Genomic DNA, 23096 nt, shown 5'->3' with positions numbered 1-23096 from the left:
GAGAAAGAAATGCTTATTATTATAATACCTGTTTCACAGATGAGAAAACAGAGGCTCATAGAGGTTAACTACCTTGTACGGGATGCAACAGTAAACAGTGGAGCCAAGATATAAGCCAGATAGTCTGACTCCAGAAGCCTTACCTGGAATCACTATGTGCTGCCCTCCCCTTTCCACTATCAGACTGCAAATGTTTCTTAGCTGTAGAAACCATGAACATTTGCACTTTCCCAGTTCAGCATCTACCACAGAGCAGATAAGAAATACCTACTGAATGGTATATAAGGAAATACACTCATGGAAGATCGAATTCCTTTCTGCTTGATAGGGCTCAGATATGGTGCTGTCTGAGGGTGGAATCCTAAGGTGGAGGCAGCGACCACCTCTTGGGAACCTTTTCAATGTCATAGTTTGCACTCACCACAAGCTTTTTCCTGATAGCCTCTAGTTTTTCAGTAGCTGCAGCCAGTTCTAAGTTTGCTTGGGCTAATGCTTGGCGTTTTGGCTCCACATCACAGTAGACCTGAAAATTCATGAATTAATACAGATACAAAGAGGATAAGTAATCATTCAATCCCAGATAGGATGGATGCTTTACAATTAAAATCTCTAATTCATCTAGCAACTTCTCTTTTTTTATTGAGATGGGGTCTTCTCATGTTGCTCAAACTGGTCTTAAACTCTGGGGCTCAAAGGATCCTCCCACCTCAGCCTCCCAAAGTGCTGAGATTACAGGTGTATGCCACCACACCTGGCCTGTTATTTTTCAGACATGGTAATACCTAAAGGCAGAGCACAATCCACATAGCCTTCCACATTCTCTCTGGTCCACCATTATTTTACTTATTTAATCTGGACCTTAGAGTTACAAGTACTTGCATAAAATGCGATATAAGTCAAACACCATTAAGATATTAAAATCAATTTGTCATAAAATGTGAAGATACGCCTCATATTACTAGAAATTGCATTGTGCAGGAACTATAGCCAATGCTGAGATCATGTCTGGCCTTTAAGGCAGAAAATAAGTGTGGAAAAATTCTCAACACAGAAAGGAGGGTGGGAGATATCCACACAACATCAACCACATTGTCACTTTCTTGTCTAAGTTCCCAACCACCTTAAGCACATGTTGTTTGAATGGACCATCTGAGAATTTAGGTGGATCAATTTTTTTTCTGCTGGTGGGGAGAGAGGAAGGAAATTAAATTTTCTTTCCTATTTTATAGCAAAATAAACACAGAATGCAGCCACAGTCAAGCTCTATGCTTGTCTTTTCACCTACTGTACAAGTAGAAGACGGGGCTGAGACATTTTATTATGCAGAGAGGCCGTACATCAACCACAACCTGTCTAAACTCTTGCCTTATGAAGATTGCCACTAAAGAGAGAGAGAGATCAAGAGAGTCCTATCCCTGTGGGCCCCACAGTATAAAGGAAATAACCTGGCTTTATGAAAATTACTTTGGGAATTGAATTGACTACACTGACTTTTTCTCAGTAATTCCATATTTGAATATAACATACAACCCTCTAAGACAAAAATGAGAGTTCTTCAGAGTTGTGAGCCATGCATTGTTCCCTTATTAGATCAAGTACTCAGCAAAGTGCTTGGGATACAGTTGGTCGGTGATAAATATTTGATAAATAAATGACTACATGAAAGTATAATCTATCTCTACACTGCCGAAAAGTACAAATTTTAGGTTAGATCACATATAGGCACAAAACTTACCTGTCATTAAAATACTAAAGCAAAGAAATGGTTATTTCCTCATCTCACTATGTCAACAATACAGATGGTGTGAATATTTGCTTTGAGAGCAGGCGCTACATTTCATTTGATGTGAATTCAGATTTGCAGTTGTTTCAAGTCAACATGAATTAAATATTTAAATGTAAATAAGTAAAATTCATATAAAAGTTTTCATCTAATTACTTACTGCTCTTTAATCTAAAGGAGCCAATCACTCTGCCCAAAAAAAGATAGTTTCTAACATTTCAAATATCCTCCTGTAGAGAATTGTTTACTCTAACATGCTCATGTCTTAGTCTTAGAACTACATATCCTTATTCAGAAAATGAAATAACAAATTTTACTCTTCTCGCTGACCTAGAAATTGATGTGTTTGCAGCCCTTTGTGGAGAACATCTGTAAACAATCAATTTAGGATTGATACCTCATAGAATTTAATGATGTTGATGACCCAGGCACACAGGCCAGCTGCTGCAAAAGATTTGGTTCGAATCAGGTTTGGATTAAACTCTGGGTCTTTCAAATAGTGTTCATTCACCACTTTTAGACAGTTCTCTGGAATGTGCTCTTTGTCATAGTTAATTAATGCTTGCAAAAAATCATCAACCTGCAAAGCAAAAAGATTTATTGCAATGAACCCATTTTGGCTGCAGAGAAAATTCCAAGATCAAAAGTTAAAATCAGCTTTTAGGACTCACATTACAAAAGCAAAATTGGCAAGCTGCATTTATCCTACTGTTTGACTTTTTCAGTCTTTATAGTACGAAGTCAGAATTAGCAATGGACACTTTTAAAACCTCTTCTATCCCAGGGTAAAATATTCAGTCCCAGCACAGGAGGTATTCACATTTTGAAGAAAAGAAAGGCAGAAAATAAAAAGCAAAAAACACACCAAAAATCCCCTGTGCTTCACCTTCCTATACATTAGCAACATTTTTCCAGCCTAAGAAATCCATGTCATTTTCTCCCTCCTACACTTAACTGCTTTCATAATTTTGCAAATAATTAGCAACCTTCCACCTGCTGCTGGCATTGACTTAGGTATGCCATAACCCCAAGCTAACTTCCAACTTGGCAAACAAAAGCTGTAAGTCTAGAGAACATATACAGTAGATTACATTCAGCAACTATGAAGATGATTTCTTCTGACTTAAACATCTTTTGCTATTAAGCATAACCACAGTACTGAAAACAGTATGGAAATTATCAGGATTTTCATCTTGCCAGGCTGGGCTGATACCTTTCCCATGAAGACTTTAGCTGCTTTCCAACTTCGGTCTTTGGGCACTCTTCCCCGAGGAGCCAGAAGGACCATCACGGCTGCAGTAACATTGGTAACTGCGATGGGAGGGTTGGGAAAGGCTTTCAGCTCACTGAGGTTGACCTGAAGAAAAGCACACAGAAACACGTACACAGACAGGATTAGCGGAAGTCTGGAGAAGCTCTGTAAGTTGCCAAGCAAGGCTTTAGTGGACTCCCACTTCTCCTTATCAAACCAGTCTCAATTTGGCAATTCTTTGCCACCTGGGGACTCCACCTTGGAACTCCAGGAGGTTCAGTTCTTGCTGGGCACTTCTCTGATACTCTGGAGACATCACTGCCCTTTCTTGCCTTCAAGAAAAATGATCTATATATCTATATATCAGTCCTGCAGAGCCCTGCTCACTGAGGCCAGGATACACACACACACACACACACACACACATGTGTATATGTTGTAAGATATTTATAGGTTCTATCCCACTATGTAATAGATTTGCATCTTAACCAAGCCCCTCCCAGACACATAATTCCTTAATTCAGTGTCTCTTAGGTTTGTTTTTCTGTCTTACATGTACAAGAAAGAAATATCTTCCATTACACTACAGGAACTCTCAACTAGGAGAGGGCCAAGATAGGCTGAACTTTCTTCTCTACTCCTTTGTCTCCTCAGGTGATGCCACTGATTAATCCAACAGATGATATTAATAGTATAAATTATATGTATCAGGGCAAACACTTTGAGGCAGGTAATAGCACATATAAGAAGCTCATGTAGGCTTATGATATTTAATACATGATTTGAAAAACAAAAACAACCAACCAGGTATTTCCTGTGATACTTTATGTGCTACATAATACACTCTTGCTTATAAAACCTTATCAAATGTTGAACCTGATTCTGCTCCCTTATCAGAAGCTGCCTATTTATTTGGTATATGATTACAAAGAATGGAAACAGAGTGAAAGCAAGAACAAAAACAAAGTCTTAAAATATGCTAGTAAGAATTGAGAGCTGGCTAACCAAGATTCTTTTATAACTTATACATATACACAGCTTCATATTTTAAGTGGAGCTATTTTGCCTGAGTAAAGAGTAATTATTCAGAGAAAAATTTGCAAATTTAGAGAAACACAATAAAGAAAATAAATATTCCATTACTCAGAGACGACCAATTACTCTTACTTTTTGCCAATCTTTTTCTGTGCACATATTCTTACCAAAAGAATTAGTCATATAAAATACCCTATTTTATAATCTGCTTTATTCACTTAATATATCATGGTTAATGTGTCACATTGCTAATTAGCATTTAACAATATTATTTTAACGGCAGCAGGCTATTTGAATGCATAATAATCAGAGTTCTGTCATGGTATGTTTCCATTTAAAATTTTTCAGTTTTATGGTACTCTAAGAAATACCCATGTAAGTATCTCCTTAGTCACAGTCAAAATTATTTTCTTCAAAAAATACTTACAAAACGAATTCAGGATTTCTATGAAGAACAGTGAAAATCTCGATTCTTTCCTTTTTGAAATGGAATCTTAAGAATCTCAGGCCCAGTGATTTCCTGAGCTCTCCCCAGAGGTCTGGCAGAAGACCCCAGGATGAGATTAGCTGCAGGCTCTTAAAAGAACATTGCCCCCCATTTCACTTTCCCTAACAATATGCTAGTGATGAACACAGCTTACTTTCTCTTATAAGAATGTGAACGCTTAGGGAGGTTTCACAAACAACATGAAGCTCGAAGAAATGGTGGGGACCAAACCTAGGTATCTTTGCTCCCATTGTTCTTTCCATGAGGGTCTCTCATCAATGCTACTCTTTATATTCCAGAGGAAATAAAGAATCCTTCGCCTAGTTCTTAAAGCAACACATGATATGAAAAATTGGATTTGGGTCAAATCCAGTTACCAACAATCCAGTTGCCTTTCCTAAGAGTATAAATCCCACACTGTTGGAAATATTCAAAAGGAGACTGCTTATTGGGGTGCCGTAGAACAGGGTCCTGGATGGGGAAAAGAAGTTGAACTATAATGATGACCTCAATGGTTTGTTTCAACTTTAATATTTCATGGGTGCTTCTTTCCTTTTAAAATACTTTTTGGCTGTAATGGGCTACTCTCTCAGCTCAGTTATTCAAACTCTAATAACCTTTAAATATTACTTTGAGGAAACTCAGGGACCAATAAATTATCTTTACCCTGTTGAGTGTATTGAGTGCAGCTGTAGCAGCCACCAGTGCAGGCTCAGCCTTGAGTAAGTCAGCTTCACATTCTCTCTGTTTCTGGAACACTTCAGTCTGAATGGCTGTCACCTAATTAAAGAGGAAAAGCACACAAACCCGTATAAATTATTATCACAGATATCTCTAAAGAAAAATGGAGGTTGACTCAGATGCACTGTTAAATAATTCATTTCTCTGTACTTTGAACAGGTGAGGAATTTGTTAAACAGACTAATTTTCCTTTAGACATAGTATATATACAAAGTTTTGTACATGTAAAAAACACACAGTAACAAATCTCAACATAAATGGATTCAAGTTCCAAAATGCTCCAAGAAAAGCTTTGACTAACTCAATTATAAGGTACCACTAATAGTAAAAGCAAGATTAAGTGATTCCTCTGTTCTTCAGTTTTCTTTTTCAGAGAGTCCTGGATTAACAAACATCTGGGCTAGCTTAGTAACCTAGACCACAAAATGTTCTTCCTAGGATTCTCTAATTTTTGCTAACTTTTGCTTAGAAGCCATGTTGGCTATTCCTAAAGAACAGATCTGAAGCTCTTTTGATCAACTGGCTAGAAGATATTCTATTCTGTGGTCATGGATCGCATGCCTAACTATAAATAAAATTTTAGTGAAGACGAATTACTGGTTTCTCCACGGACATGATAAGAAACCAGAGATGCAAGAGCCCACATCTGCCTTCGGTATTGGAACAATAACACTGATACCCACTCTCCTCTTGTGGATCCAGTGGCACCTCTTCCCAAGACACAGAGGGTGCTGCATCAGCCTTCTGACATGATATATAATATAGAGGAAAGTCATGCTGGTAAACTTGAACCAAACCAAAATGAGAAGACAGGGCGGGGGTGGGAAGTGGCTTATCCTCCTCTCCTTAAGATACCTATAGAATCTGAAAGGCCAGGAAGAGTGAATTTTTAGTCCTCAGTAGAAATTTGAGTTTCAAAGCTGTGGCACTGGGCACCAGGATCTAGCCACCATGGGAGACGGTTCCCGTGGTGATGGTGATTGTGGAATATAAAGTGTGAACAAAAGTATATTTCTTCAGATGTATTTGAAATGAACAGGTTTAACTATACCATAAAATTAAACACTGCTCACAACAAATTATGTTGTCTACTACAGCTTTATTAGCAGTAATTACCCTTCTCCTGATTAACCATTATTTTGCTGTGTACTGTACCTTTTATAAACATAATTGGTTCGGGGTAGATATGTGGCCTCCTGCTAATACACACACAGCTATTGTTAATGTAAATCGGAGAACCCTGCATGCTTACTGAGAACTACTCCAAAACCACAACCCTCAAAAGCTGCCAGGAATGGACCATGAAAATTTTCTGTATGCTACAGAACACTGCTACAGATAAAAGAGTTTATGTGAGTGAAGGAGTTATCATCTCAGGTTTATTTATTTTCCATAAGGACACAGTGAATCTATAAATGCTGTTTGTTAACATTTATAATGGCATCATTAAAAAAATCATTTTAAATTGGAATCAGGATCATAGATTTTTGGTACTGGATAAAACCTTAAAGAGTATTTCTTTTAAGTGCTCTTTCTTTCTTTCTTTTTTTTTTTTTTTGAGACAGTTTCGTTCTGTCACCCAGGCTGGAGTGCAGTGGCATGATCTCGGCTCACTGCAACCTCCGCCTCCTGGATTCAAGCAATTCTCCTGCCTCAGCCTCCCCAGTAGCTGGGATTACAGGCACGCACCACTACACCCGGCTGATTTTTTATATTTTTAGTACAGGGGCTTCACCATGTTGGCCAGGCTGGTCTTGAACTGCTGACCTCAAGTTATCCGCCTGCTTCAGCCTCTCAAAGTGCTGAGATTACAGGCATGGGCCACTGCGTCTTGCTAAAGTGCCATTTCTATCAGCCTAGGAGCTGCTACTCTTTTCTGACTCCTTTACTATTAATGGAGTATTTTTCCTTTGGGTAATTTTTATAAACAAAACAATCTTGAACATTAAATAAAAACTCACTTATACAAATGAACAGGATTCTCAGGTTGGTCAACTGATTTCTCATTCTCAATACCGTTTACCCTAAGGTGCGACAATACTAGAAGAGTGAAAATTCTGTATATCTCAGTAAGCTGTTAAGCCAGTGTACAATTTCCTTTGCCCAGTGGCTCCTAGGCAGTGGTCAGCAAGGCTCAACCTATAAAACAGGAGAAGAGTTGCAGGGAGTGCCTAGAGAGTGTGCTTTCCCCCTACAACTGTAAGTTAAAGCAGGAATTTGGAGACAGTTTCACCCTTGGGTAGACCAGAAATTCTCTGCCTTGCATTAGTCAACAGCCCCTTGCAGATGTTCTTAAGATTAGTGGTGATCACAGGGAGAGAATAAAGAGAATGAAGTCCCAATAACTGCTTGTTATGAGCTAAACTGTGTCCACCCAAAATTCATATTTTGAAGACCCAAGCTCACCATGTGACTGTATCTGGAGACAGGGCCTTTACAAGGTGATCAGGTTAAACTGAGGTCATTAGGGTGAGCCCTAATCCAAACTGACTGGGGTGAGAAGTTTGGACACACACAAGACACATCAGCAGAAGTAATCACAGTGAAAAGATCATGTGATGATACAGCAAGAAGGCAGCCATCTGCAAGTCACAGAAGGAGAAACCAAACTTGCCAATACTTTGATCTTGGACTTCCAGCCTCCAGAATTTGGAGAAAATAAACTTCTACTGTTTAACCCTCCCAATCTCCCAAAATACCCCATGTGGTATTTTTGTCATGGCAGCCTTAGCAAGTGGATACAGTGCACTTGTCTGCCTTTAGATTATAAGAATTTCCTTATGATCCTCTAAAACCCAGGCCCACCCACATTCAGAACAGAAACACACACAAAAACTGATGGCCATTCCAAATCAAGATTGATGCTCAACTTTTGAAGAGATGATATTAGCGCTTCAATTTAGAAGGCGCCTCTACTCATAAAGGTTTACACTCTACTCAAGGGAGAACACAGTTTGAAAGCAATGAGAGAATTCTCAGCATTTTAGAATTTGGAGCTGAGAAGCCAAACAAAGGTGGAAGAAGAACTAATTTTCACAGGCTTGATGATGCTTGTGTGATTTGGAAGTCACTGCTGGCAATGCCCAGTGGTTCAAATCGCCCTTGATTACCTTATAGATTTGAAGCAATGATTTCAACCTGCCTCTCTACATGGGCTGTCAAGGTTCACGGCAAGACATTCTCTAACCCCAACATTTATTTAGTCATGTTAAACGTGGCTGTGTACTTTGTGAGTTATGCAGCATTACTTTTAAATTACTGCTCATGTTTGAAGACTTGAGATCCCAATTTCATAGGACCAGAAACAGTCCATATTCACCCCCTTTAGTATGGCATAGCATAGTATCTAGCACATTGCTGAACATATGACAAATGTGAACACAGAGCATGGATTCAGGTATTGATGAATTTCTAGATGCTTTCTAGTTTAATTACAAAAGAACTTTCTTCCATGAATATCCAATTTACAATAGTTCCTTCCCACCATCATGTCTCTCTACTGGATTTTCATCAGAGCACTTATCTCAAAATATCCAGCTTCTCAATGTGTTACTTGTCTCATGTCGGTCTTTTCCACTGCAATGTAATCTACATGAGAGACCCCTGCTTGTCAAATATCCCTAATAGTCTACAACACTGCCTGGTGACAAAATAGATGTTAATATTTGTTATTAACATCCAGCTCCATGGATAAAATGAAAATGTTTAGAAGTTTTATTTTTATGTCTTGGTATGGATTAAACATAAAAAATAGTATGTCCCTTCTTTGTGTTTGAAGAACTTCACTAAACAACCTGTCAGATGAGTTCTAATTTGCTAAAACTTCTTTCTCCTTTTATGAGGGTAATTTTTCCTTGGGAATTCAAATGTAAAAATGCAAAAAAAAATCTCTAGAGTATTTATATTTTAAGTTTCCAAAAAGTATCTGTGATGATAGGTTATGATATAATTACTAGAACATCACATGTTTGTGTAATGCCTGAAAAATATTCCCTGGGTAGAATTAGCTAACGGTGACTGTATCATGTGTGATACCTAATTGCTCAATGGAATAACACGCTTTGTCTTTTTTGCCCCTCTTTTATGGAGAATGGGGTCTCATTATGTTGTCCAGGCAGGTCTCGAACTCCTGGGCTGAAGCTATCCTCCTGCCTCTGCCTCCCTAAGTGCAGGGATTACAGGCCACTGTACTCAGCCCAATAATATACTTTTAAGGACATTCTCCACTTATCTGAAACTCAACAGAAACATTTACAACCCAAATTAGGAATTACATGCCCGCTGATCACATAGGGCATGCCAAATGTGCCTTATCTTCAATTTTAATGCCATAATCTTATTTCTTAAAACTGTCCTTTTAGAGTTTTGATGTTCAATATACTTTTCAAGCCTTTAGTTGTGCAAGGAAAACATGCTCAATATGCATTGGAAAAAAAAAAAGAAAATCAACTCAATTGTATATGAATGGCAACACCACTGGAAAAACTCAAATATTTTCAGGTAACATAAAATACAAGAAAAATGGCATAATCACTACCGATTCAATGGCTGTGAGAATGTTAGCAACTTATAACTTTTTATTAATTAGGCCCTGATTATACTTTTTTGTCTAAAATAAGAATTTTTTACCTTACACATATACACTCAATTTTTAAACAAGTATGTATTAAAATTTTTCTGTTTACTATGGTATTTCTTTTGAGATATCAGATGTACAAAACTATGTCTTCCATTTGTAGCTGACGTTTTGGTAAAAGAAGATGACAAAAGACAGTGTACTTATTTCAGAATTGCTAGAAACCTGAGTAGAAAGAAAGCAGAATCTATATAATCTTAAAGGGAATTATTTCCAACAATAAAACATAATACAGAATGCCAGGGCCTCGATCGAATCAAAAAGAACAAATTTAGCTTAGGACTTAATAATAAACTCCAGTTGTATTATTAAAATGCAAAATTTGAAAACCATCTTGCAAAGTGACGGAATGGGCTTTGTTAACAATTGAGTTGTTCAATTTGCCTAAAAAGTGGAAACCTTTAAAAACCTCAGAGGTGACTTCCTGACCTTTACTGTATTACAAATAGGCCTGATGTTCAAGATCCACATCCATTATATGCTTGAATGAGCTCAGTATTTATTGTTCTTTCATATCATTAAAAGAGCTAAAAGGTTGGGGAAATGCATAATGTAAAGAAAGGTCAAGTGGTAATCACGGTGTGAAATGCTGTTACATGTGTAACTATAATAATTCTTTAGACTTTATGCTCCCTGGAGAGGAAGTTGTTCAAAATTGTTCACCTACCAAGGTTTATTTTGTGCTAAATATAGCTCCGCACTCTAAATGTTGGAATTAGCCTGACCTTTCGCTCCTCAGCATCAGCGATGGTCTTTTCCCGGCTCACTTTCTCCGTCTGAAGGCCGATCTTTGTGATCAGAGCTTCGGCATCATGATTTCTCAGTTGCAGCTCGGCTTCTTGAGAGGCAAGTCTGGCTTTTAGATCTCCCACCTAAAGCAAAAGTCATTATTCTTACGTCACTGGCCTTGTTCACAACAAATCCCAGATAGAGCTTATTGCTGGGAATGAATTCAGGGATCTCTAACAATTTGTATCTTGCATCTGTCTCTACCCTGATTTTCACTGTCTTCTGATTTGCAAAAATGCAGCCACATTGTTTTTCTCCACATGAGAACAAACAGAATAATATTTTCCAATGATTTTGCAGGAAATATAATTAATTTTTGTCAGCACTAACAGGTTAAGTAGGGAAGTTGCTCTTCCCTCTGTCTGACCACATGCTCCTTTACCCACGTCTGCTTTTGGGTCCTAGGCAGCTCGGGCTCAAGGAAGCAGAGGTTGTGGGAAGACATACTTGGTGATGAGCTGGAAGAACTATGCCTCTCACTGTCCAACAGAAGGTTGCTGGAGGCTTCAGTAAGTTGACGACATGAATGCTCCTTGCCTGACTGCAGATTAATTGGCTGCATATTAAAATGCCCACTGATAGGTCTCACCTCTTCCCATCAAACAGAAAATAGGCCTCTTGATTTTTTTCACCTCATTTATGATCATGAAGCTAACCCAATATTCAACTTAATACCTGCTAAGAAGAGCAAACTGTGTGTTTGGGGTATTAGTATGCTGTGGCCAAAACTCAGTGAGCTTCAGAGGCATACACGTCTCCCATCAGTCCATCACTAAATAACCTTACTCAGCTCTTGGAGAACTCAGCCTTCCGAGGAATCCATGAATTCATCTGCTAAAAAGAACTGTCCATTTTTTTCAGTTATAATTTCATCAGGTTCAGAAAGCATTACTAGGTTCCTCAGTTTGAGGGTCATGTAACTAAAAGCAGAAGTGAGGTACTAGAGAAAAAAAACATGACTCAGTTCTCAGAAATATCTGAAAGCAGCTTTACACATCACAATAATTATCTCTCCACTGCACTTCTTTTCCAAAAGTATAAATATTACCATTAAAAAATCATAGCAGCAAAGAACAATCATAACCATTTACATTTATTTTAACTCAAATGCTAAAGACATTTCAGTGGTTTCATCTTGTGGAACGACGCCCCATTACTATATCCAAGTAATCTTGTAGTTTCCACCCAACACAGTATATTCACACTCTATCTAAAAAGCATGATTACTACTATGGCTGCTACTTGTACTATTATAGATTAAGCTATGACTGATTTTTCAGCCTGTCTATAAATTCAGGGTAACTTTGCATAGTGACATGCTTCTCAGTTCTTTTTAGCCATATGAAACTAGTATTAGATTAGGCCATAGTCAAAAGAATCATCCATCAGGAAAATTCAAGTAAAACCACCATATCACTACACGCCTATTAGAATGGTTAAAATAAAAATTAGAGATGCCACCAAATTATTGCAAGCGAGCTGAGAAACTGGCTCTCTCATACACTGCTGGTAGTAATGTATTATGTCACAGCCATTATGGAAAGAATTTGCCTGTTTTCTATAAATGTAAACATCCAAGTACCACACAATTCAGTAATTTCATTTTTGGTTGTTTGTGGATTTATGCCTACAAAAAAAAAAACCTGTACACGGGTATTCATAACAGCTTTATTTATAATTGCCAAAACCCAGAAATAACCCAGATGCCCTTCAGTGGTTGAATGGTTAAATTGTGCTACCTTCATTCTGTGGAATACTGCTCAACAATAAAAAAGGACAAATTATGGATACACCCAATACCTCGGTTGGATCTCAGGGGAATTATGCTGAATGAAGAAAACCAATACCCAATGGTTACATATTTGTATAGCATTTTTGAAATGACAAAACTATAGAAATGGAGAATAGATTAGTGATGGCCAGGAACTAGGATTCAGGAGGTGGGGAAGAAGTGGGGGGTAACGTAGGTGTGGTTATAAAATGGCAACATGGGATCTTTCTGTAGATGGAAGTTTTCTGTGTCTTGACTGTGTTAGTGAGTACCCAGACCTACATGTGATAAAACTGCATAAAACATACACACACACACACACACACACACACACGTACAAATAAAACTGGAAATCTGAATAAGGTCTGTGGATTGTACCAATGCCACTTTCCTGGTTTTGGCATTGTACTAGTTATGCAGGATGCTACCATTGAACCTATAAGATGTGACAGGGACCTGTCTGTACTATGCTTTGTAATTTCTTCTGAATCTATTATCATCTCAAAATAGAAATAAAGCAAAAAGAATCACCCAAGAGACTAGGACAAAATTATGTTATTTCAAGCCCTAATTTCAGTTTCTAAGGAAGCTGTTAGCTCTGAAATATTCAAAGTGACTGAAGCCGTGGAAGCAAGGCTTTCTCTATGAAGAAAGGTCACTAGGACTATCTGTGATGACCTAAGCTGACATCTAGAGAGAGGTTATTTGGCTATAAAAGGTGCTTACAGCTTTACTGTAAAGAAGGAACATTGCTAATGTTTTCAAATGATGTGGCATTCCTTAAGGCAGACCCTTAGAGGATACATGCCCCAATATACAGGCATTACGCTCTCCATACAACCTGATCTTCTGCAATATGGTTCTCCAATTCTCCACATAGGAAACCATCCCCTTTTTATAACCCACTTATTTCTAAAACTGCCATGTAGCTATTGAATATTCCAACCACTTTTTTGATAGTAAGAGCATTCCATGCACAAATACCTAATGAAAAGAAATCACCGTCAGTCTTTCCATCAGACTTCATGGTCAATCAAGATGTCTTGTGTCTTTACAGACTTTCTGCCTGTGGTTCTTAGCTAAGGGGAAGTAAAGAGACCCAAGCAGCCCTGGACTTGGCAGACATAGTGAATCGGCCCTCCCGTCTCTCTCCTTGCCCATCCCCCTGACTCATCAATGTGTAACTGAGGTGACTATTAAGAAATCACAGTCTCTCTCCTCTTCTTTTTTCCTGTGGCTGAGATGCTGCCACCACTGGAATGGTCCAGGATGGTACCCCACTTGCTTTTAGCTCACAACCTTTAAGTATGGCAGAAGCACTTATCTCTTTGCTAAGGATGCCCCCACAGTATTGAAAGCTCAGTTTGGGTGACAATACTATCATTTCCTGATAGTGGGCAAAGTCAACAGGTTCAGTTTAGGACGGCATTCAAAGGGATATAAATGCTTTGTGAAACAGAGCTCCTTCCTCGTCTTATCTAGCCCAACAGGACTCCAGGGAAAATCTTTCTTATGGAAAGGGGTCTTGATTTAAATGAGACAGAAGAGGATAGACAGATAGAAGAAAACTGACATGGAGAGGGGCAAAAGTTAAGAAAGTAAAATAAGCTGTGAATAAAAAGAGACAGGAAAGACAGACTTGTTTTTTTTTTTTGAGACAGGGTCTCACTCTGTTGCTCAGGTTGGAGTTCAGTGACCCACTCAACACACTGTAACCTCAAACTCTTGGGCTCAAGGGATCCTCCTGCCTCAGCCTTTCAAGTGGCTGGGTCTACAGGTGTGCGCCACCATGCTCGGCTCATTAAAAAATTCTTTTGTAGAGATTGGGTCTCATTTTGTTGTCCAGGCTGGTCTCAAACTCCTGGACTCAAGCAATCCTCCCCCTTCAGCCTCCCAAAGTGCTGGGATTAAAGGTGTGAGCCACTGTGCCTGGCCTAGACAGACGTTCTTTGAGAGGAAAGGAGAAGGTGCACAAATATGGATATGCTATTTGTGGGTTTCCTAGAAACTATTCTTAATATCACTTGATCCCAACCGTCCTGGAAACCTACTCACCCTGGTTTCTCTTTCCTAATTGTGGTCCATCTACTCACTATTAGTACAGATCACAGTGTTTTGTCACAGAGTCATTCTTGGTATAGAAAACTAAGAGAAAAAGAGGCAAGTGGTGCTTTGGCCCAGAGTGACTGAAGGACATGGCCAGAGAGCCCTTCAGAGTGAAAAGGTGCCCATTTGAAAAGGTGCTCCCTCCTTCGGGTCTCAGTTCATTTCTAGCCTAGCCACAGGTGGGTTACCCAGGCCACTCGGGGAAACCACTGCCCCAATCCTTGTAAAGCATATGAGAGTCTGACCTGATGACATGACTCTGAGAAGGCCACCAGTATTTCTAGTCTTGAGGTGATCACTAGTGAGGATTCTTCTCACTCCAGCTCTAAGTCCTGACTGGCTCAGAATAAGGCTGGGCTACTCTTCAAAGTCTTCAGAGTCTCTCATTCCAATCTCTTCTTTCCAGCCACAGAGAGGCAGCACAGTGCCATGGACAACTCATGGGCATCAGAGCAACACAGACCTGGGTCTAAAACCCAACCTCACTGGCTCTCTGGCCTTAAACTCTTTACGCCTCATATATAAAACTATAGTAGTAACAACTACTTCATGAAATCCTTTTTTAACAACGAAATAATGATAATATGTGTACAGACCCACACATGATTAACATCCTGTGATGATTCTCTCCTGATTTACTCCTGCAAGTTAGAGGCATCGCCCTTCGAGGGAGCAGGGGCCTCAGGACTGAGGACACAGATGTGTAAGAGGAGCAGACAAGTCACTAAGGGAGGAACAGCTCTACCTTGGGATCTCGCCACAGTCATTAGCCAGAAAATGATGCCCTCACTGGAGGTTGAGAATCTGAGACCAAAAAAGATACTGGTCCATCCTAGGATGATAAGAACCTTGACGACAAGTACCGTGCACTGAAGAAGTCAGAGACAAGAGAGGCAATCCGCTGTGTCTGCTCCCTTCAATATCCCACACTACCTTACACTGAGTCAGGCCAGGAAGAGAACGTTTCACCCTAATCCAGCTGTGAGTCGGCCAATCCCATTGTAGGCTTTTGAAAGCAGTAGCAGTGTATTCTTGGTGTCATGAAACTGTAAATTTCACCAGCTGGCATCTTATAGAAATGGATTTAGTAGTGCTTCAAAAGGAAATATATTTTTCTGTTAAACAGCATAAATATTACTCAGTAATAACACATCCTGGTCATACCTGAGAGGCTGTGGTTTTTAGCTTTTGGATGCCGTTCACCAGGCGTTCTTTTTTCTCGGATACCTCATTTTGCTTCTTCTTCAACAGGTTCTTAAACAGTGATATTTGTTCTAGAAAACTCTTTGGGGTGGTATAGTTGTGTCTTCTCTCATTCTGGTAATATCTGGTACTCATTTCATTTACAGTGGTGTGAACATGTGCCATGAAAAGGCTAATAGAGTCTTTGTGCACTGGCTGAAAACACAAACATTACAGTTCATGTGAAATCCTCTCAAATTAAAAATACAACTTAAAAAAAATCAAGTAAATGATCATTTTTTTTCTAAAAGTCAGAAAAAAAAATGATAGTATAACCTACGAAAACTTATTTAATCTTTAAGCGCTATCCACAGGATTTGGGAGATTACAATAAAGCATTCAGCTTGAGTAACCTTCTTCTTGCCAAGTAGGACAAAGGGTTTTTATGTGCTCCACATACCAAATACAAAAGCCAGCATATACAGATCTTCACAACTTGATTTTTATCTACCGAGTGTGTGAAAGAGAAGGTGGAGAAACAGACACAATATCCTGAGAAATATTTCTGCCATTGCTTTCAAACTAAGCTTTAGACAAAGAGAAGCAATAACCCTGCAAAGTCACTGAAAAAAAAAAAAAAGCCAAAACTTAGAAACTCACAGTTTTATGAGAACTCATGTAAAAACAAACTGGATAGTAGGGTATAAATGTCACTGCTTCTGGGAGAAAAATATCATGATCATTTCTATTCATATTTGGGAAAGAAAACCCACAAAAAGAGCAACTCTCCTTCAATGAGTTACTGGAAGACCCCCCACTATACATTCTTTCCATTTTGTCCTCTATGACTTCTGAAGTAGTTAACTTTTTAATTTGCAGAGTCACATCTCCCTCATTTTAATGATTATTTATTGCATTCTGTACAAGATGAACCAGGTTCAGTTAATCAAGGGAAGCCTACAAATCAATTAATATGAATTAAATGAGCTACACCAACTCTTAGGAAAGTCACACATAATTTACCAAAGTGTTGTCAATAATGCTCAGACGTCTTTGGGAAAATTGCACACACGTGGCTGGTGATGCAGTCAAACATTTCAAACCTGCACCATTAATATTACAAGCAGAGGTGTGAAGAGAGACCAGCCAATTCTTGGTGAAAAACAACTGCTCCTGAACAATGTCTTTAAACAATCAACTTTCCAACATCACGACAAATTCCCGAGTGGGTTTGGAATACCCACATATTGCATTGTGCTGCGTATTAAAAATCCATCTCACTAGTAACTGAAATAATGTATTACTAAAACAAAAGTTAAAAATAACGTGATATAAATTCCAAATATTCTTGGTTTCTAGTGGACCCCAGATACAAATATATTTCCAAACAGTGAACTCAGAAAAATAAAATTTATGAAGAAGTTTATATAAACTTCATATAAATCATAATCCTTTGGAGACTTTATTTTTACAAGAGCTTGACTTCAATACAGACATGTGCAGGAATTTACTCCTGTCCTGTCTTGTTTTAATGGGAACTAAAGGTACACACATACCTTTCTACAATATAGATAAATAATTCCTCAGCCAAGTGTAACCTCCTTACAGGAAGGGAAAAAAAAAAAGAAAGAAAGAAGAAAAAAAAAAAACACTCTGGCCTCTGCCCAACCATGATCCTTATGAGGAGGCTCCTTGGAGGCGCTGAAAGCTCTCTTTAACAACAGTTTCATTTGTAAATCGGGGATGGAAGAAGTGGTTTCCGGTAGAGCTGAAAGTGGCCTGAGACAACTTGTCTCAATGGGGCAAAATAACTATTGTTATCAGGCTTAACAAAATGGCACAGCATGGGAGACTCGCTGAGCCAGGGAGCAGCTGGTTGTAATTCACACTGTTTTTCAGAAAACTCTAATCGTTCCAGAACAGACCTCTTTGATGACTGGTCTTCCCTGCATTCTCAATTTGTCACTTTCTCTTATGATAAGGTCAGTAGTGACAGCACTTCCTGACATTAACAGCTGTGGCTTTTAAAAGGGTCATTGTAGAACTACTAATTGCAGTAATTTCATTAGCATAAATTATTTATTCTGCCATTCATTTATCTCCAGTTATTTTATTTTATTATTTTTTTTTGTGGGGGGCGTTGGGGGAGAATTGAGAGGAGTTGCTGCTGGTGCTGCCGCAGCGAGGGCTACGCAATGCTGTATTTTTCACTTTGAGAGACGTGAGGGGAGAATATCATTCCTGCTAGATTTGGCCTCTTAATAAAAACCAGTTGATAACCACTTATAGTCATTTAGCAGCTAATCATGATGATGGCAAAAATAAAAATAAGCAGAGTGCCAGTATCGAATGGTTATAAACTCAAGGTTTCCCCACTAAGATGCTCTGGAAAACGATGCTGTCTCCAACGCATAATCAAATGCAAAGATGAAACTGCTTTCCCTCACATTAAGAAAACGTGTTTAATTTCTACTCTCTCAGTTGGCTCACTGTCAACACAAAAACATAAACAGATCTCTGCTATTTGGTGTGACAGTTCTCGGGCAGGAGTAGTCTCTGCCACACCAAGTACTCCAGCCACCTGGCACTTCAAGCAAGTGCCCAGTATATTCCTCTTGAAAATGACAAACAGCAGAGTTGAATATAAACCAATACCCAGAGGTCAGCACTAAATCAGTTTAGGATTTTATACCTTCCCAAGACCAGCAAAGATGACTACATTGGTCTGTAATACTAAATTTGGGCTTTCAAGAGCACTGTATTCAAGGGAGGGAGGGAGGAAGGGCAAAAGAGAAAGGGGCAGGTGAAAGAATCTATTTTCTCTCTTTTTGAAGTGTAACTTGGGACAATTTTGTCACATTAAATGCCATATACCTACAGTAAGTCTTGAACATTTTTCTCAGAAATTATTTCTGTGTTAAATTTTAAATATGTCAAACTGATGTGCTACACAATCTATTTGATCTTTTTGCTCCTTTTAGGGCTGGTAGAAGAATATATTAATAAGATATTTGTGGTTGCATGGTGGCTTATTAAAGAAAGAAAACTTACAATGCATAAAATGGGCAGTGTTGCATTTTAACACTTGTCCTAAGCTCTTCATAGTGCTGTTTTGCTCTGAGAAGAAGATTCCGGAGGGAGCCAGGGACAAAGGGTTTGAATCCTAGGACCTGGGCTAGATTTCCAGTTCTGAAAAATCTGGTAAGATACTGCATACCCTCCTGTACTTCTTCCTGCCCACAAAATTGCTCCTTTAAAAATTCTGTTTCCTTTCTTCTTTTACTGCTTTCCCAATAGTCAAACATTCATGCAATAGTCAAAAGAAGGATTTAAGACTATGGGCTCTGGTGTCAAACTGCAGATGTACCCCTTACCAGCGGCATTATTTACTCTTGGGCCTCCATCCCAGGGGAAACTACTGGTCCCTCCTCATGAGGCTGGTGATGAGAGGTGGTAAGCAGTGCAAATTCACAGCAGGAACTGGTTGAGCATCCCTAATCTGAAAATTGAAAATCTGAAATGCTCCAAAAGCCAAAACTTTCTGAGTGTGAATTTAACACCACAGGTGGAAAATTCCACATATGACCTCATGTAATGGGTCACAGTCAAAACTTTGTTTCACGCACAAAATTCTTCAAAATCTTATATAAAATTACCTTTGCACTATGTGCATAAGGAGTATATAAAACAAAAATGAATTTTGTGTTTAGATTTGGGTCCCATCCCCATGATATCTCATTATGTAAATGCAAATATTCCAAAATCAAAAAAAAATCTGAAACCCAAAATATTTCTGGTACCAAGTATTTTGGGTAAGGGATACTGAACCTCTATCAGTTCTGCTACTGTGGTAGCAGTAGCACCAACAGCAGTTGCAGTAAGATTACTGCCATTACACAGGGCAGCAACAAGTGTTAAATGTAGCACCAAGCACAGTTTTCTAAATTGTATGCTGTTTTTTTGTTTTGAGTTGTCTGGTGAGTGCATTATTTTGTTATTTGCTTATGCTTTTTGTATCTTGCCTTTAATTCTGGAGCTCAACTACTGGTCAGAGGCAAGACAAAGTCCAGCAGAAGCCAACAATTTCCTAGATGAGCTTGCAGTCATTGAAAAAGGTACCTTCAATGGTTCTCTGCCAGAAAGTTGAAACAAAGAAGCAACTGAAGACTCAGGAGGAGTGGAGGAAAAATGAAATCCAGGCCGGATGCAGTGGCTCATGCCTGTAATCCAGCACTTTGGGAGGCAGAGGCAGGCAGATAACCCGAGGTCAAGAGTTTGAGACCAGCCTGGGCAACATGGTGAAACCCTGTCTCTACTAAAAGTACAAAAATTAGCAGGGCGTGGTGGTGTGCACCTGTGGTCCCAGCTACTCAGGAGGCTGAGGCAGGAGAATCACTTGAACCCGAGAGGCGGAAGTTGCAGTGAGCCGAGATCATGCCACTGCACTCCAGCCTGGGTGACAGAGTGAGACTCCCTCTCAAAAAAAGAAAAAAAAAACCAAAGAATAAAAAAGCAATCCAGCTACCTCTTTTATAGCAAGAGGACAGAACAGGAGATGGTGTGAATGGTGTGGCTGCTTCTGGTAAGGTCAGCACCTAGAGAAAAGCCACAAAACTACAAACTTATAGGGATAGCTCCATTTAAGTCAATTACACCTTCAACTGAATATTCATGTCCAGATTCCTGGGCAGCTACAAAGTCTGGACCCTACTTATGAGGTCGAGGCTTGAAGAATGGGGAAGGATGTTTACAACTACTTGTGTCTTTCCTCAGCCATCTGAAGATATGCTTAAGCCAGTATAAGACTTAAGCAGAATCAAGATAAATGTGGTTGCATTTATATTTGTCTTAATATTTTTAAATGGCTTCAATATTCCTTAGAAAGAGGATTATTTTCCTCAAATTCACACAATTTCTACTGCATAAGGTTATCTTTCTACTTTTTATTCATATTGAATAATCCTAATTTATATTTCTTTTTTAAAATTATTATACTTTAAGTTTTAGGGTACATGTGCACAATGTGCAGGTTAGTTACATATGTATACCCTAATTTATATTTCAAATAAAGAACTGTGCTTAAAGTCATTAATATGATAGAAACTCTGCTAAGATAGCTATCACTGACAAAATGTTGTCTTATACCCTTTGTGTTTGGCATGCCATTTTAAAAATGAATTTACAGACCATTGGGGAAACAAGTCTTTAAATATAGCAGTAAAATAACTTTCCTCTTAGAGTGGACTTTCTCGCCATCAGTTGTGGAAAACAGTAGTAAAATATGTCCTTCACAAGCTACCAAACTGCAACAATTGAAGAGGTGGTTGCATGGGGAATAACTGCTTTTCCCTGAAAAAGCTGATGATACGGAGTTTGTGTCATTACTTTTAAGTGGCACCACATAAGGACAGAGGATTTTAACTCATCGGTTGGTCAACATGCCCCCAAAGATGACCTCTTTCACCTTGCTCAGATCTACTCTACACCATCCAACAAACATCTCACTCCTTCACCAGACAGCTCACTGTTTCATTTCCATTCAGTAACTTCTCCTTTCATCTGGCTCTGCTTTCAAAGATGTCTATGATTCATTTTACCTTGAAAAGCAAAAACATCACTTGTTTTTCAACACCGCAGCTTCTCTTGATTTTTCGTTGTAGAAACCGTGTACTAATCACTAAGCTCTTCACACAGTTCTCTCTCCAACGAGCTTCTCACAGCCTTTCCAACACTGTTCCCAGGTTTACCCAGATGGCTTTTCCTTCTCTCCCTCCTTACACACCTCCTCCCATCTCCATTTCAAAATCTCCTTGGAGAGGTAGTGTGCGTTGACACAAAGTCTTCAGATAAATACTTAAGTGTCAAACTGTTTTGGTCATTATTTGTCAGCTGTCATTTAGTTCAATATTAGGCAACAGAAAAATAGCACAAACATTAATTTAGATGCAGTCAACCCGTACCCCTGGGTGCTGAGTGTGTACTGATGGAAAATTACACGCCAACACACACAAAACTGCTTGCCTTTAACGACTCCTTTCTCTGTGGCCAAAGGGGGTCACCTTGTGTAAGCACCTTACACTCAGCAAATGACGTCAATAATTAAGAAGTGCCTAAATTATGCTGATAACTTTCAGTCTTAAAAAAGGAAATTAAAACTAAGAAAGTGATCAAATTAGTGCTCATTCAAAAAACTTAAAAGCTGTTTTTGACCTCTACAGAAAAGACACCACAGGTTTTTAGAAGACCATGGACACATTGTACTCTGAATTATAATTATTGCTCCTGCGCAACAAATTAGGAAGGTGGGAAAGTTAAATAAGCAGCTTGCACTGAAATGAAATCATCTGACTCATTTGTTTTGAGGCACAATTCAGTTCAAGAGAAATGGGAAAGTGTTTTTAAAATTCCTATTTGGCACTCAGCATCCTATAGGAGGCGTTATGACACCATCAGATCCAGCTTAGCACCTGACAGGAGCCCTCTGGACTTAACACGATGCAAGTCCTGCCTCATCCAGCAGATGTCAACGGTCAACGGCATATCAAACTCCTTTAGCTGTTTTCAAAGTGGCACCCACCTGGACAGGAAAAAGCCTGCACAGAGTAGCAAAGGGAAGAAACTGTAAAAAGCACTGTGCCACATGCCAACTTAAACCATGCTACTAGCTCTAATTTCCTACCATTTGACAAAGTAACATGCAGAAACAAAGTGCTCTGGCCCCTTTCTCTTCCTTACCAAACCAGCCTGATGAAACACAAATTTGCTATCAGAAGATACATACTGACTCTCTCCCTTTAATAAAGCAGCATTTTGAACCCTTCTTGTAACTATCACAAGATAAAATGATGCCCTAGAAAATTCCAGAAATGCAGCAGACCTGGCAATCACATACGAAATTTGTGTTAATATTTATGACAATTATTTGTCACATTTAATGATTTTCCAGATGTTAGAGTACAAAATGTTTCTGGCAGACTTTAGAAGAGATCATTTCTTATTTTCATTTATTTGTGGAAACGTTTTAAGTGCAAGTGTAGAGGAGAGAAGGACAGGGGAGGTATATGAATATCCTAAGGCCTCTACCATATATATATCTTCCAAGTTAGATGTTGCTTGACGGCTCTTCCCTAGCAATCCACCACCAAATAATTAGATTAATAAACATTTCAGGAAAAGACTAAAGGAGAAGAGGTCTCCCTCCACAAAATTCTGTAGGTGTTGGTGAATACTTGCATGTGTACTTACCTCTATAGCTGCTTTTTTTTTTTTTGTAGAAGCAAAGGAAAATGATATTATGAACAATAAAGCTAGCTG

At 38.8% G+C, this 23096-nt stretch overlaps 1 protein-coding gene across 1 annotated transcript in view, besides 3 other annotated features; it reads right to left on the bottom strand.

Moving 5' to 3' along the window:
• DNAH11 (dynein axonemal heavy chain 11) overlaps positions 1-23096 on the bottom strand; it is a 358801-nt gene that overhangs the window by 112076 nt on the left and 223629 nt on the right. Inside the window, exons 56-61 of the mRNA NM_001277115.2 lie at positions 15765-15998; positions 10660-10806; positions 5224-5337; positions 2997-3140; positions 2181-2363; positions 422-523 (exon numbers count right to left, since the gene is read on the bottom strand). Coding sequence (NP_001264044.1) covers positions 422-523; positions 2181-2363; positions 2997-3140; positions 5224-5337; positions 10660-10806; positions 15765-15998 — 924 coding nt within the window. The remainder of the gene's footprint in view (positions 1-421; positions 524-2180; positions 2364-2996; positions 3141-5223; positions 5338-10659; positions 10807-15764; positions 15999-23096) is intronic.
• Positions 17338-17946: an enhancer, noted in NCBI's record as "OCT4-NANOG hESC enhancer chr7:21811436-21812044 (GRCh37/hg19 assembly coordinates)". NCBI's record gives its function as "activates a minimal SCP1, AML or CMV promoter by ChIP-STARR-seq in primed H9 embryonic stem cells {active_cell/tissue: H9 hESC(primed)}" and the evidence as "EXISTENCE:reporter gene assay evidence [ECO:0000049][PMID:30033119]".
• Positions 17338-18012: a biological region, named in NCBI's record as "VISTA enhancer hs294".
• Positions 17380-18012: an enhancer, noted in NCBI's record as "VISTA enhancer hs294". NCBI's record gives its function as "enhancer in: neural tube[3/5]" and the evidence as "EXISTENCE:transgenic organism evidence [ECO:0001131][PMID:17130149]".

Source organism: Homo sapiens, chromosome 7 (assembly GCF_000001405.40).
Source record: "Homo sapiens chromosome 7, GRCh38.p14 Primary Assembly".
NCBI classification, from domain to species: domain Eukaryota; kingdom Metazoa; phylum Chordata; class Mammalia; order Primates; family Hominidae; genus Homo; species Homo sapiens.
The sequence above is the reverse complement of the archived record's forward strand: the minus strand, read 5'-3'. Positions and strand labels throughout refer to the sequence as shown.